Source organism: Homo sapiens, chromosome 1 (assembly GCF_000001405.40).
Source record: "Homo sapiens chromosome 1, GRCh38.p14 Primary Assembly".
Lineage (NCBI taxonomy): Eukaryota > Metazoa > Chordata > Mammalia > Primates > Hominidae > Homo > Homo sapiens.
Window position 1 is genome coordinate 14,718,980 of NC_000001.11, and position 14,953 is coordinate 14,733,932.

General features: G+C 47.6%; 1 protein-coding gene across 11 annotated transcripts in view, besides 4 other annotated features; it reads left to right on the forward strand.

Annotated features, from left to right (window-relative positions):
• KAZN (kazrin, periplakin interacting protein) overlaps positions 1-14,953 on the forward strand; it is a 1,225,220-nt gene that overhangs the window by 826,156 nt on the left and 384,111 nt on the right. The gene's annotated exons all lie outside the window — the stretch shown is intronic.
• Positions 6,587-7,273: an enhancer, noted in NCBI's record as "OCT4-NANOG-H3K27ac-H3K4me1 hESC enhancer chr1:15052062-15052748 (GRCh37/hg19 assembly coordinates)". NCBI's record gives its function as "activates a minimal SCP1, AML or CMV promoter by ChIP-STARR-seq in primed H9 embryonic stem cells {active_cell/tissue: H9 hESC(primed)}" and the evidence as "EXISTENCE:reporter gene assay evidence [ECO:0000049][PMID:30033119]".
• Positions 12,764-13,485: an enhancer, noted in NCBI's record as "H3K27ac-H3K4me1 hESC enhancer chr1:15058239-15058960 (GRCh37/hg19 assembly coordinates)". NCBI's record gives its function as "activates a minimal SCP1, AML or CMV promoter by ChIP-STARR-seq in naive H9 embryonic stem cells {active_cell/tissue: H9 hESC(naive)}" and the evidence as "EXISTENCE:reporter gene assay evidence [ECO:0000049][PMID:30033119]".
• Positions 13,486-14,207: an enhancer, noted in NCBI's record as "OCT4-NANOG-H3K27ac hESC enhancer chr1:15058961-15059682 (GRCh37/hg19 assembly coordinates)". NCBI's record gives its function as "activates a minimal SCP1, AML or CMV promoter by ChIP-STARR-seq in naive H9 embryonic stem cells {active_cell/tissue: H9 hESC(naive)}" and the evidence as "EXISTENCE:reporter gene assay evidence [ECO:0000049][PMID:30033119]".
• Positions 14,208-14,931: an enhancer, noted in NCBI's record as "OCT4-NANOG-H3K27ac-H3K4me1 hESC enhancer chr1:15059683-15060406 (GRCh37/hg19 assembly coordinates)". NCBI's record gives its function as "activates a minimal SCP1, AML or CMV promoter by ChIP-STARR-seq in naive H9 embryonic stem cells {active_cell/tissue: H9 hESC(naive)}" and the evidence as "EXISTENCE:reporter gene assay evidence [ECO:0000049][PMID:30033119]".

The following is a 14,953-nucleotide window of genomic DNA, read 5'->3' on the forward strand; positions in this document are numbered from 1 at the left end:
GAGGGCTGGGATTGTCTGAGTCTCTAAGGGTGCAGGCTTGGTTTCCAAGAACAGCGGGAACCTGGTGTGGCTCCCATCATAATCTACCCACAGTCGCCATAGGACCAACCCACACTCAACTTTGCACATGTACTCTCTGCTTGCTGGTCTTTCCACAGACTCAGCTTCTGCAAGGCAGGGATGATGCCCAGCATACAAGGTAGTAGGCAATGAATAAATCTTGGTCAAATTAATAAAATAATAACCAATTTTGATTATGATTATTCAGTTATAGGTTCATGACCATAGTCAACACATTTACGCTGAGTGCATAGCATGTGTCAGGCACCTATGTTTGATGTTGGGGACATGGCAGGAAATAGAGCAGGCAAAAGCCCTTGCCCTCATGGGGCTTAGATTCTAGACAAAGAATTTAGGCCATAGAATGCAAAAGTGGACTGTGTCCAGTGGTCTGTTAGAAGGCTACCAGTGCTATGGAGAAACAGGAGGAAAAGAAGATGGGAGGGAGTGTAATTTTAAGGACAGTGGTTAGGGTGAGACTCTTTGAGAGGTGATATTTGAGCAAAAATGAGAAAGAAGCCAGGCGTGGTGGCTCACACTTGTAATCCGAGCACTTTGGGAGGCCAAGGCGGGCGGATCACCTGAGGTCAGGAGTTTGAGACTAACCTGGCCAACATGGTGAAACTTTGTCTCTACTAAAAATACAAAAATTAGCTGGGTGTGGTGGCACACACCTGTAATCCCAGCTACTTGGGAGGCTGAGGCAGGAGAATCACTTGAACCCAGGAGGTGGAGGTTGCGGTGAGCCAAGATCACGCCATTGCACTCCAGCCTAGGCAAAAGAGTGAGACTCTGTTTAAGAAAACATAATGAGAAAAAAGGGAGAGAAACATGCAGGTGCTGGGAAGGGCATTCTAGGCAGAGGGAATGGCCAGTGCAAAGGCCCTACAGCATGTTTGGAAAACAACAGGGGAATTAGAGGAAATGGAGTGGAGTGGACAAGAGGGAGAGGCAGGGACAGGAGGGCAGCAAGCTAACAAGCCACCTTCTCCACCCTGTGTAGATGACACAGCTAATGCTCAGGGGATTTAAGGGACACGTCTCAAGCCAGCCAGCAAATGAATGGGAGAGCAGAGCCCAGGCCTGGGATTCCGGAGCTTGTGCCACTTGTCAACATGACAAGAGGACCCACTGGGGGATGGCACTTCTTGTGAATGCCACCCTTAGCGCCTACTTGGTGCAGCTTTAACTTGGAGAAAGAAAGATCCCATTCCCCTTCCTTGCTGTTGAGAACATAGTCATGGGGCAAGACTGGGCAGCCCCCTTATTTCAGTCTGAGCTATCCTTGGGGTTCCCAGCAAGATCCCAAATACCTCCAAGTCCCTAATGCGTCTTTCTTGGTTGTCAAATGCCACCGTGAGTCTGATTCCTTTCTGTGTTTTTCGTTCTTGCCCCAAAAGGTTCTTGTCTCCTTCTGAAACCTGCCTCATGGAGGCCAGGAATAAATTTAATTTAGGGCATCTACCTGTGCAGTCAGTAAATTACTTCTGCTAGCTCGCTCTGACAAACCATCTTCTGTCGCTGACCTTTCCTGCCTCATATTCTTGCAATATTTTTCTTTGCTTAACTTTCTGTGCAATCTTCTTTTCCATTTCCCATCTTTGCTCCTCTTATCATTCTTACAGACTGCCCTTCGCTCACATCGGCAGGCTTTCCTGTTTTCATTTGCTGCTTCCTCGTCACTTTTTCTTTTTTGAGATGGAGTCTCACTCTGTCGCCCAGGCTGGAGTGCAGTGGCAGGATCTTGGCTCACTGCAACGTCTGCCTACCAGGTTCAAGTGATTCTCCCGCCTCAGCCTCCCGAGTACCTGGGACTACTACCGCGCCTGACCTTCCTTGCCACTTTCCAAGGCATTTTTTTCTGCTGCCTCCCCAGTGAGTGTGGGTGGAGACCCTCCAGCCTGTTTGCCATCAGGTGACCTGATGACCAGTTCTGGCTTGGCCCCTGCCCTTGTTTGTACCCTGTATACAGAGTCAGGCATTTCTTCTTGCAAAGAGCACTATCTATTTAGGGTGCTCTGGGCCACAGGAGGCCTGAGCGGTGGTATTGATGCTGCCTCTAACAGAGAACCATGAAGCCCTGTTGATGTGGCTTGGCAGTGTCCCCACCTAAATCTCGTCTTGAATTGTGGTTCCCATAATCCCCACATGTCATGGGAGGGACCCAATGGGAGGTAATTGAATCATGGGGGTGGTTACCTCCATGCTATTCTCGTGCTTGTGAGTGAGTTCTCACGAGATCTGGTGGTTTTATCAGAGGCTTTTCCCTACCTTCAGTCTGCACTTCTTCTTGCTGCTGCCATGTGAAGAAGGACATGTTTGCTTCCCCTTCTGCCATCATTATAAGTTTCCTGAGGCCTCCCCAGCCATGCTGGACTGTGAGTCAATTAAATCTCTTTCCTTTATAAATTACTGAGTTTCAGGTATGTCCTTATTAGTAGCATGAGAACAGACGAATAGACCTGTGCAACTGTGAAACTGGCCAGACAAGAACCTTGAAGGCAGCCTTGTTCGTGTTCGAGGTCTGGTTGTGTTGAGTATTTACCTCAAGGATGACATTTCAATGCTGAGAGCAGGGGTACAAGTCAGTACTATCCATTTGAAAGGTATCTTGGTGATGTCTTTTCAGATTTCCAACACATTTCTGGGTTTTCAAAACTAAGCAGGTTCTGCAGAGATTTCTATATAAGACCACCTAGTGCAGCATTGTTTATTGTAAGGCAAATTGAAATCCTAATTGTCAATCAACCCCTCAGCTCTTTGAACTGGATAAATAAGTAGAAATACATATACTCTGGGATACTGTGAGGTTGTTAAAAATGGTAAGGAATAGACCGGGTGCGGTGGCTCACACCTGTGATCCCAGCACTTTGGGAGGCTGAGGCAAGTGAATAACTTGAGGTCAGAAGATCGAGACCAGCCTGGCCAACATGGTGAAACCCCCTTCTCTACTAAAAATATAAAAATTAGCCAGGCATGGTGGTGCATGCCTGTAATCTCAGCTACTTGGGAGGCTGAGGTAGAATTGCTTGAACCCAGGAGGCGGAGGTTGCAGTGAGCTGAGACTGCACCACTGCACTCAGCCTAAGCGTCAGAGTGAGACTCTGTCTCAAAAAAAAAAAAGAATAAAAAATAAAAAATGGTGAGGATTGATCCACATGGACATGGAGAGATGACCAGGAAACAGTTACATTTAAGCAAATTTCCATGTGCGTTTTAGTATGTGATGATCCATTTTGTAGAATAAAATTATATATCCATCACAGGGCAAATGTGATATTGTTATTAAAAGAAATTAGGTGCTTCACAAATCTTAAACATTACAGCATTCTCAGGTCATTAAGTTATTATAATATTCTATCTAATTAACATAAAAAATTCAATTTAAAACCCAGAAGAAGAACATCATTCAGGGTCAAGGTTTGTTTGTTGGATGAGAAGAAATATACATTCGTTATAACCGTGTTTTGTTTTCAATAAATATGAAAAAGTATTCCTTTCAAAACATTGCACTCTGGATTGGTGATGTTCTTTTCCCAATGAGCATACCTTTGTAAAATAAAATTTACTTTACTTTGTCTATTACTTGGTATCTCTCTGTCTCTTTTACTTTTGATTGTGGAGAATTTCAAACATGCAGGGAAGTCAGCAGCCCAGTAAAATGAATGCCCTCGTGGCCTATGGTCTCAATAACCATCAACCCTTGGCCAGTCTTGCCCTATCCACACCTAGATTCCCTTCCCCAGCCCCTGTTCCTACGTGAGTTTGAAGCAAATCCCAGGCATCATTTAAACACCTCCATTTAGCTGGGTGCCATGACTCATGCCTGTAATCCCAACCCTTTGGGAGACTGAGGTGGGAGGGTCATTTGAAGAGTTTGAGACCAGCCTGGGCAACACAGTGAGACCTCATCTCTACAAAAAATTTTTTTAAAAACTTAGCTGGACGTGGTGGTGTGCACCTGTGTTTCCAGCTGCTTGGGAGGCTGAGGCAGTAGGATCACTTGAGCCCGGGAAGTCGAGGCTGCCCTGAGCTGTGATCGTACCACTGCACTCTGGTCTGGGTGACAGAGTGAGACTCTGTCTCAAAATAAATAAATACATAAAAATAAAATCTCCATTTCCTCCTCCTGACCCTGCGGCTGCACCATAGTCAAGGGGTGCATCTTCCAATGTTGACCTATTGCAAAGAGATCCTAATCCTGACTCCCAGACCTTCTACCTGCTGTCTGCCCCCACACTGTCCCCAGAAAGGTCTTCTTACAGCCTAATCTGAGCCCTACCTTAACTGAAGCCATCAGAGCCCCCCAACTGTGACAGTGGACCAAGCAGGCAAAGCAGGAGTGCCAAGATATCAAAGTCCTCAGGTCCCGGGGCAGCAATGAGTGGGACCTGGGGTGGCCTGAGCTTGCTCATCACGGCCTGTGGCCTCATCGAGACTCATGAGTTTAACACGAGGGAGCAGTACAAAGATGATCACATGCCTCTATGGCCACGATGGGGAATGAGGAAGAGGTACTGGAACATTGGAACTCTACTGCCTGGGACAAAAGGCCCTTCACAGTTGGCTGTCCATCTGCCGGGCTCAGCATCCATTTGCTCCCTCTCTCTCCTGCATTCGTCTCCTTTTCCACCCGAGTGCTCCTGTGGGTAAACATCAGTGGGGTGGAAGTGGGAGTGCAGTGACTCAAAACCACGTCGGAGTGTGGCTCCTGATCCCAAAAGCTAGTTTTCCTGGGATACGGCTTTGACTGATCCAGAGGGTTTATTCAGCCAGTTTTTCAATAGATACTTTACTGGGCACCTCCTATTTCCCAGACACTGTTGTGGGCACTGGGAACCCAGAGGTGATGAAAAGAGACAAAACCCCTGCCCTCATGAAGTTTCTGTCCACACATGAGCGTGGACAGATGCCTGCAATGACGTCCACCGAATATGGCAGAATTGGGGACCAGCTCTGTACTTTCAGCTTCGTAATTTTCTGCATTCGTTGATTTATTTAAAAGGAGTACGTTTCATTTTTACAACAACAACGTGATTTTTCTTAAAAGCCACAAACAAAGAAAGCACACAGGGCAAGATGCTACCAGTGATTAATTCCGGGTGGCGAGCAGGTGCACAATTATTTTCTTATTCTTTCATGCGCTTTTTAAAATCCCCCAACCAATTTTTTGAATTAAAGGGAATAAAAACAGGATAGGGAAAAAAAAAGTGAATTCTTTGAAACTGGCAGTGAATCTGCCACAAAGTCAGGAATGATGGAAAGATTTTTTCTTCTTATTCTCTGCACAGTAACCACAATATCGATGCCTCACTCCAGGGCACAGATGCGTCTGCGGGAGAGCTGGGATTAGAGTCCCCTTGCACTGTGGGGCTTTCTCTAAACCACCTTTTTTGTGGCCTTAATTCCATGAATACAAACAATAATTACCAACCTAAGTAGATTACTCAGCATAGCTTACATGCCTCTGGGTCCTCGAATGAGTCACATTATTGACTGCTCACAATTAATCTAAAAAATTAAACCAATTGCTCTCCTGGTTCCTTCTCCGTTTTGTGCCTGGATGACACTGCCACCAATTTATTGCCTGAGCTGTTATTCCTACTTGGTGTTCCCATTTTTCTCCAGAACTGAAATGTTCCATTAAAACTCATTTGTTTCCAACCTGGGTCTTTTGGAGTGTGTTCCCCATCCCTTCTGCGGGTTGCCCCGTTGGCTTTGATGGGCTGCGGTGGAATTGAGCCTCTATTTATAATTCTTCCATGGTCTGTCTGGTTTTTCAATTACTTCACAAACTCCCTTCTGCCCTTCCTCACTCTGGTTCATCAATTTTCACTTCCCCTGTCAAGTCGGAAAGAAGTCAGTGCTACTGCGTGCACCTCCCAGCATCCCAAGTATGAGTCAATGGGAAGAAAATGACCAGGAAACTTGAGGAGACAGAAAAAGGCACTCAGAAGTACCAGGCACATAAGAGATGGTTGTGAAAAATCGGTGTAAACAGGACTTCGACCTTCATTCCTCTTGTAATTTACCAGAGGAAAGAAGATCACCATACACTGAATTTTAACTCAGGGGCCATTGGGGCTGATTTGTTACATAGCTATAACTAACTAATACATATTCCCTCTCACTCACTGGGTGCCTCCTGTGTGCCAAGTATTCTCATTTCAAATGTTATCACCAGTCTGGAATATTCTTCTCCCTCCTCACTCACCTTCATCTACTCTTCATTGCGTCAATGCAGACATCACTTCATCAGGGCAGCCTACCTGGGACCCCCTCCTTAGGCTCCTGGTGGCATTCTCTACCTCTCCTTTGTGACATTTACCACTGTTGTCATCTGACATTTATTTGTGTAATTCTTTATTCATTATTCATTATTCCACTGACTAACCATAAGTTTCATGAGGGTGGAGCTGTCTTTTTTTTTTTTTCTTTCTTTCTCCTTTTATATCTCCTGTCCCTCTCATGGTTCCCAGCATATAGCAGACACTAAAATATCCATTCAGGAATAAATGTAAGCCTTATAACAGCCATGTTATCACTGTTCCCCTTTTACAGGTGAGGAAACAGAGGCTAAGAGTGCAGGAGGGTGTTGCCCACGTTCATTGCCCAGTGAGGTTGAGTCGGGACTCAAACTCAGAACCCCAGAGTCCCAATTTTTCCTGGTTGCTTTCCCCAATACAGTCAACCTGAGCCTCCCTTAGCTCAGCTCTTAAAGTGCTGTCAAAGCCACCTGGGGATCTTGTGAAATGCAGATCCTGGTTCAATAGGTCTGGGGTGGCTGAGCCTCTGCAAGTCTAGCAGGTTTCCTGTGATGCTGATGTTGCCAGTCCCTGGACCACCCTTTGAGTAGCAGAAGGGAGGCCCTGCTAATTAGGGGAGGGAAGCGGATGGGCTCAAAGCCACTGAATAGCGTCATGGGTTGCATCTAGGTTGCACTAAACACTGTTATCTCTTGGCTTCAGTTCTGCTCCCAAACTGTGAATGTCTGTGTTGGTGACAGTTTACACATTCAAGCCAGTCAGAGGTTGGGGAGGAGTCCTGATGCCAGCCTCACCTCATCTGGCACTGGCTCTGTGAATGAGGCTTCAGATGCTTTGGTTCTGCAGGAAAGGCCACCAACAGGGATTCCAAAAGGGCCTATGACAAGCCCTTGTGTGGAGGTATCCAGGCTCTTGCCAAGGAAGCAGCTCCCAGGTGGGCACAGACAGCTGGTGCTTGGGAGAAGCAGATGTACACCCCGCAAAACAACCAGGAGAATCAGAGCACACAGGGGACCTGTGCAAGCTGATAGAGGCTCTGGTCACCAGGGGCGACTAATTGTCCCTGTTCCCCACCAGAAGGAAGCGTCCCCTGGGAGACGCGTTCCCAGCATCTCAGCAGGTGTGGAGCGGCTTCCGGGTGTGTGCTCTCCCCCAGGGATCCAGGTGGGTCATCCATGCTTCCCTCAGTCTTGATTTTCTTTGCAGAGCCTGTCCAAAGTCATCCTTCCTCGAGTGTCTGTGGGCTGGGTTGGGTTGTACAAAGACCTTTCAAAGCTGCAAGCCCTGCAAAGATTATGGTGTCCCCTACATAGAACAACAACAAAAGCGATGAATACTTAGGTAGCAATGAATTGCAATTCCTAGAAGGTCAGACACTGGCTTAACTATCTACCTGTACTTGTAGTTCTCAAAGCAGGCTCCCCAGACCGGCAACATCTGCATCCCCGGGGAACTTGAGAGACATGCAGATTCTCAGGCCCCGCCCCAGACCTGCTGAATCAGAAACTCTGGGAATCTGTATTGCAACACGCCCTCCAGGTGCCTCTCATGCACGCTCAGCTTTGAGAACCTGTATTAACTCACTGAATCTTGAAGACAGCCCTGTTAGGTACAAAGAGGTGAAGCTACCTGTCCAAGGCCATCCCTCTGTGGTGATGCCAACACTCAGACACAGGCACCTGGCTCCAGAAGCTGTGCCTTGAGCTACTGCTTGCACTTTGACAAGTGCTCAGTGGAAACCATAACACCTGAATGAGGATGTCAAAGAAATTACATTTTTTCCTATGATGTCTCTTTTGAGGTTTTTAAATATATATATATGGAGAGAGAAAGAATATTGAATTTTCCCCGAAAAAGTGTTTTTCTCTCTTGCTCATGTTCAGTACATCTGTTGGATAACCCAGCACTGGGCAGGGAGATGCAGATGCGGAGGAGAACAAAACAGGCCTTGGACGTGAACCCAGGGCTTCCTGAATCAGGATGCTTGCCAGTGTCCCCGGCCCCTCCTGATGAATTAGTTCAGCGGTCCCCAACCTTCTTGGCACCAGGGATGGGTTTCATTGAAGACAATTTTTCCATGGACAGAGGCCAAGTGGAGGATGGTTTTGGGGTGATTCAAGTCCATCACATTTATTGTGCACTTTCTTTTTTTTTTTTTTTTTTTTTTTTTTTTTTTTTTTTTTTTTTTTTTGAGAAAGAGTTTTGCTCTTGTTGTCCAGGCTGCAGTGCAATGGCACGATCTCGGCACACTGCAACCTCTGCTTCCTGGGTTCAAGCGATTCTCCTGCCTCAGCCTCCCAAGTAGCATGCACCACCACGCCTGGCTAATTTTGTATTTTTAGTAGAGACAGGGTTTCTCCATGTTGGTCAGGCTGGTCTCGAACTCCCGACCTGAGGTAATCCGCCCACCACGGCCTCCCTAAGTGTTGGGATTACAGGCGTGAGCCACCGCTTCGGCTGTGTATTTTATTTCTATCATTGCATCGTAATATGTAATGAAATAATGGTACAACTCACCATTGTGTAGAATTCGTGGGAGCCCTGAGCTTGTTTTCCTGCAACTAGACAGTCTCATCGAGTGGTGATGGGAGATAGCAACAGATCATCAGGCACTGGATTCTCCTAAGGAATCAGCAATTTAGATCCCTCATATGCGCAGTTCGCAATAGGGTTTGCGCTCCTATGAGAATCTAATGCTGGCCGGGCGCGGTGCCTCACGCCTGTAATCCCAGCACTTTGGGAGGCCGAGACGGGCGGATCATCTGAGGTCAGGAGTTCGAGACCAGCCTGGCCAACACGGTGAAACCTCGTCTCTACTAAAAATACAAAAATTAGCCGGGTATGGTTGCGTGCACCTGTAATCCCAGCTACTCGGGAGGCTGAGGCAGGAGAATCGCTTGAACTTGGGAGGCGGAGGTTGCAGTGAGCCGAGATTGTGCCACTGCACTCTAGCCTGGGCAGCAAGAGTGAAACACCGTATATATAAAAAAAAAAAAAAAAAAAAAAAAAGAATCTAATGCCACTGCTGATCTGACAACAGGCAGAGCTTCGGCGGTAACATGAGTGATGGGGAGTGGTTGCAAATAAGATGAAGCTTCACTTGCTCACTCACCTGCCGCTCACCTCCTGCTGCCCAGTTCCTAAGAGGCCATGGGTTGGGGAACCCTGAATTAGTTAATTGGATGAATGAATGATGAACTAAGTCTGTAGTAGCCCCAGAGATGCTGACTCAGGTCACCTAGGATGGGGCCCAGGGACCTGAATTTTAGCAGCTTGTCCTCAGAGGGTTCAAATGCAGCCGGTTCCTATAACCATCACATTACAAGACACTTGGCTTCCCGTATTGGAGGCTTTTTCCTGGCAGGAGCATTGCTTTTGCAGAGGCCTAGGATACACCCATGAGGACAGCAGCCTCGCCTTACACTTAAGTGCACCCGATCCTGCCTCTGGCATCTCACAAACGTCACTCCCTGGAACAAATTTGTGAAGGCCTCCAGACCACAGTGTCCTCATCTGTAAAATGGGGGTAGTAGTAATCCTTGCCTCATAAAGTTCTTGGCAAGGATTAGATGAGCGAGCATGTGAGTTTGGCCTCCGTTTAAACACTCCATAAAGTTTCCTTTTAGGATAACAGCAGGCCGTTTTAGAACCTTCCAGAGGTTACTTATTCAGATATCCTTAGGTGACGATTGGGAAGCTGCCGTTTCTTGAGAGCCTCCTGGGTGACAGATGGAGAGTGGCCCTGGCGTGACCCTTGACCCTATCCTTGAGGCTTTCCTGCCCGTCTCCTGCCTCGAATGTGCTCCGCAGCACATGGATCAGGATGGGGAAGGGGCTGTGTCACTGGATACCTTCGGCCCCTGCCCACGTCTAGGGCCTGTGAAAACGAGGAGGGACAGCAAAGAAATGGGGAAAAGGCCAGGCTGTCTTCGGCTTCACAGTGACCCAAAGAGACTTAGTGACCCTTGCTATCTGGTTGTGTTCCTTGGGCTCCAACTGAGCATCCATAGGGAAGCAGAGATTTATCCAAGACGTGCACCTGGGAGCAGTCAGCTCTGCAGAGCCCCTCGCTATCTTCTCACCCAGAATAGCCGGGCTTTCTTCCCTCCCACACTAATTGGTTCCATTCGATGCTTTTATAGGCGACCCTAATGGGTTTTGTGAGATGTCGTATTAAGTCTGTGGTCCATAGAGTAATGCCCTTCGCTGTCAGGGAATGCAAGGGAAGAGCAGGGAATTCCAGAATGGGAAGGTGTGTGAATGTAGACCTTCAGGTTGGTCACAAACAGTGTCTCGAGATTCCACTGGGGAAGCGTTCACTTTTAGAATCAGGCCAAGCTGAGGGTTCTCTGTCCTCAGGTATTTTCCTTTGTAGCAGTCACTGGCTCGAAATGGAGAATGAGAGAAAAAGGAGCTTGTTTCAGGCCAGAGACCTCACTAACCGAATAACAACACTAAGGCCCTGCAGCAGGGGGCACAAACTACCCAGCCTGTTTCCGTGTGGCCTATGATGGTTTTTTTGTTTGTTTGTTTACATTTTTTAATGGTTGGAAAAAATCAAAAGAGGCATATCTACCTATTTCATAACATGATAATTATAGGAAATTCAAATGTGGGTGACTATAAAGCTTTATTGGAACACAGGCACGCCCATTCGTTCCTGTATTGTCTATCACTGCTTTTGTGCTGCGATGACAGAGGCTGCATGTGGCCTGCAAAGCCCCAAATTTTTATCATCCAGCCCTTTACAGAAAGAGTTTGCTGGTCCCTCTCATAAAGTATCCTTTTTTTTAAATGTGACAGAGTCTAGCTCTGTTGCCCAGGCTGGAGTGCAGTGGCGCGATCTCGGCTTACTGAAACCTCTGCCTCCCGGGTTCAAGCGATTCTCCCGCCTCAGCCTCCTGAGTAGCTGGGATCACAGGCACGTGCCACCATGCCCAGCTAATTTTTGTATGTTTAGTGGAGACAGGGTTTCACCATGTTGGTCAGGCTGGTCTCGAACTCCTGACCTTGTAATCCGCCCGCCTCGGCTTCCCAAAGTGCTGGGATTACAGGCGTGAGCCACCGTGCCCGGCCTAAAGTATCTTTTTTATCATGATAGTTCACGCTTATTCATTGATGGGCTGCCTTCTTACCACATGTCCTTGACATGTTTTAATTCCTTAAGTCCTCATAGTAACCCTAGTACATGTACTCCTGTGATTGCCATTTTACTGATAGGGAAACACAGGCAGAGTCTCATGTAATCTGCCTTCTGTCACCCAGCCAGAAAAGGGCAGAACTAGGATGCAAGCACAGGGAGTCTGAAGCCAGGGTACCCATTCTTGAGCACCCTGTCACGCTACCTCTCATTATCAGGTTCTGCAATACTTTATCCTTGGAGCAAGCAAGGTGAGGTGCCTACATTTTCCCATGCAAGTGCCCCAATCTGTCCCTGAGAATTAAGGCCCAGAGAGAATGATGCTTTCTCAGACCCTCAGGAACATTCCTTCCTGATTTGCCAGTAAGTGGCAGAGCTGGGACCAAGACCCAGGTGGCTCTAATCTCATCTTCATTCTCCTCATTCTCCAAGATGGTGGCCCTCCCTCTTGTGCCAGGGACTCCCAGATGCCCACTCTTGGGCACAGCAAAGAACCCAGATGCTCAGGCCTCATGGATTCCAAGGCCCCAGCAAGTGACATCCCTATTAGCCGGGGAGAAGGCCCTGGCTATTGTTCTGTTTGCTTTCCTTTGTGATGTATTGTTACATAGGAAATTTATTTCTTAACAATTTCACTTACAGCCCTTAAAACAAAATGGGGCTCTGGAGAACTGCATCATTAGCATTGATAAACATTTTACAATACCATCATGAGCAAATGGAAGTGTCTAATGAAAAGAAAAGAAGCACTGCCGAGTAATTAAAGAGGCTGCTGGGTTTTTATTATTATTTTTAGCAATTATGACTAAAAGCCTTAATCGTGCAGCACCCATTTTCCCATCTGTTTTGAACTCAGTTATTTAAGGAAAAAACATCATCATCGTCATTGTCAGCCCCAGGCCAACAGTCAAGATGCCCAAGCCAGCTTGGCTGGGCAGTGGGCTAAGGGTGCCCAGCCCCAAGGCCCTGTGACTTATCCCCGGTTCTAGAAGCCTTGCTCCAGGGCCCACCCTTGGAACTTTTTTGGTTCCCCTCCTCTCTTTTTCTCCCATCCTCCCTTTCCCTTCCCACAGAAGGTTTTGCTTCTGGGTCGGCACTGAGCCTTCTCCATCTATTATCTCTTGTCACTATGCAAAACAGCTGCCTGAAGCTACCATAATCTTTGCAGGCCACATATGGTAGATGTGGCTCAGAGACCAGAGAAGCTGAGAAGCTCGAAAGAGGACACACAGCTAGTGGGTAGCAGAGCCTGGGCTGGAACCTAGGTCCTTGGACTGTGCTGGGAGGATGGAGAAGATGCCCTCTGCTGCACAGTGCCTGAGTGAGTCTCAGGTCTGTTCGGCACCTTAAACAAGTGCCTTAATGTTGCTGAGTATTCATGTCCTGGTCTGTAGAAGGAGGATGACAACAGTAGTACTAACCAAATGAGGGGGGTTGGGAGCGTTCCGTGAGATCACATACGTCAGTTACACAAAGCACAGGGTCTGTGCTCAAGAAGCGACAGACTTGCTGGCCACAGTTCCCAAATGGTGCGGCTAAGCCGCCCTGGGGTGCTGCAGTGAGGTCAGCTGTGGGAAGTCAGCTGTGGGATAGTGCAGTGCTGTGGGATAGTCTGAAGTTTCAAGGAAAACACAGCGACACCTGTCGGACCCTGGGTGAACTACTGGCTCAAGGTAGTCACAGTTTCAACATTCCATTCCGCTACATTCCCTTTGATGACAGCATTTGTTTGTGAAACTGGGTATTGGCCGTTGCTATGATTAAAAAGCAAGTACCACCAAGACCAGTGCAGAATGGGAAATAAAGGTGTTGGAGTCCAGTCCTAGTTCAAGGTTGGAGGATTGGTGCAGTCCCCAGTAGGCACACAAGTTCCATTTGTAAGTACTTGTGATTATTTAAGAACAAAATGAAGGCCGGGTGCAATGGCTCATGCCTGTAATCCCAGCACTTTGGGAGGCCGAGGCAGGTGTATTGCTTGAGCTCAGGAGTTCAAGACCAGCCGGGCCAATATGGTGAAACCCCCTCTCTATAAAAAATATATAAATTAGCTGGGTATGGTGACACATGCCTGTAGTTCCAGCTTCTAGGGAGGCTGAGGTCAGAGGATGCCTTGAGCCCAGCAGGCAGAGGTTGCAGCGAGCCAAGATTGCACCACTACACTCCAGCCTGGGTGACAGAGCAAGACTCTGTCTCAAAACAAAAGGAAAAGAACAAAATGAAACTTATTTTTTTTCTTTCAACATATATGTATTATTTTTTCAACTGGCTATTACAATGTTAGAACATAAATACTTAGTAAGTTGTTTGGCCCTACCTATTTAGTAAACGAAGTGGTTAGGGATTTCTTTTGGCCCTACGGTGCCATGAGAAAAATTACTGAGACTCTAAGAGTGCCATAAACTGAGAAAATATCAGGACACCTGCCCTGTGGCACACTCAGTGACTCAGTGTTCGTTTCAAACTCCTTTAACCGATAGGTATTTTCTGAATGAACAGGGAAATGGAAGCACATCTTCCCTCCTTCCCCTATGTTCACGGAGCAAGCAGAAGAGTTTGCTGCATGAGATTTGGGAAGAAATTCAAAAATGTAGCTCCAAACAGCTCCCTGGGTGGTTCAGACATGAGCAACCACTTTCTTAGAAGACAAGTGCGCTGAGTGTTTCTCGGGGATCTGTGGCTGCAAAGCGGATCAGCTCTGATTTCAGCCCCAGACTTTCTGACAGAGGGACTTTCCGCCCACTGCCCCAGGCTTGGTAATTAAGCAGTCTGAGTGATTGCAGAATTCTCGCATGTTCCCGGCAGCCTGTGCTTGGAGTTACCATGAAAGCAAGTCAGGACAAGTCCCAGAGAAACTTAGCTGGTGAAGAGGAAATGGCATTTATTTCAAATACACAACCCAGAGTTTGAAGTTGATGAAATGGGAACAGAGAAGTTCTTTCCCGTTGCCCCACCCGCCGTGCAATATTGATTTGCAAATTTTCCAGCAGCCACCGCCGCTGCAACACTTCAGCAATAGTTGAATTAATGACCGTGGCAGTGCAGCCTCGTGCCGTAGGGTGGGACCTCCTGGAGCCTTCAGAGTCGGGCAGAGATGCTTCCTGGGAGGTGTCCGGATGACCTCTCTTTCGGGGAGTGGGGGAGTTCTGGAAGTTTCCATACAAGGAGCAGTTCAAGTGTTGGAGGCCCCCGGTTCTCCCAGGGCCCCTTTGATGTTCAGCGTGGGGACTCGGGGGTCATAGCAGCTTCCTGGATGTGTCTGAGTCATCAAAGCTCTGCTTAGTAACCTTAACCTTAGTGCCTTAACCTTGCTAAGGCACAGGTTTCTCGCATCTGAACCACCTGCGAGCTGTTTGGGAGCTACATTTTTGAAGAGGAAACTCCACTTTTATTCTCTGGGGTTTGGCCCCCCGATCAGCCTCTCCAGATGGGATCTCCCTCCTTGCCCAATCTGCAGCCCACGCCCCAGCCAGTCCAGACTGCTGTCGGT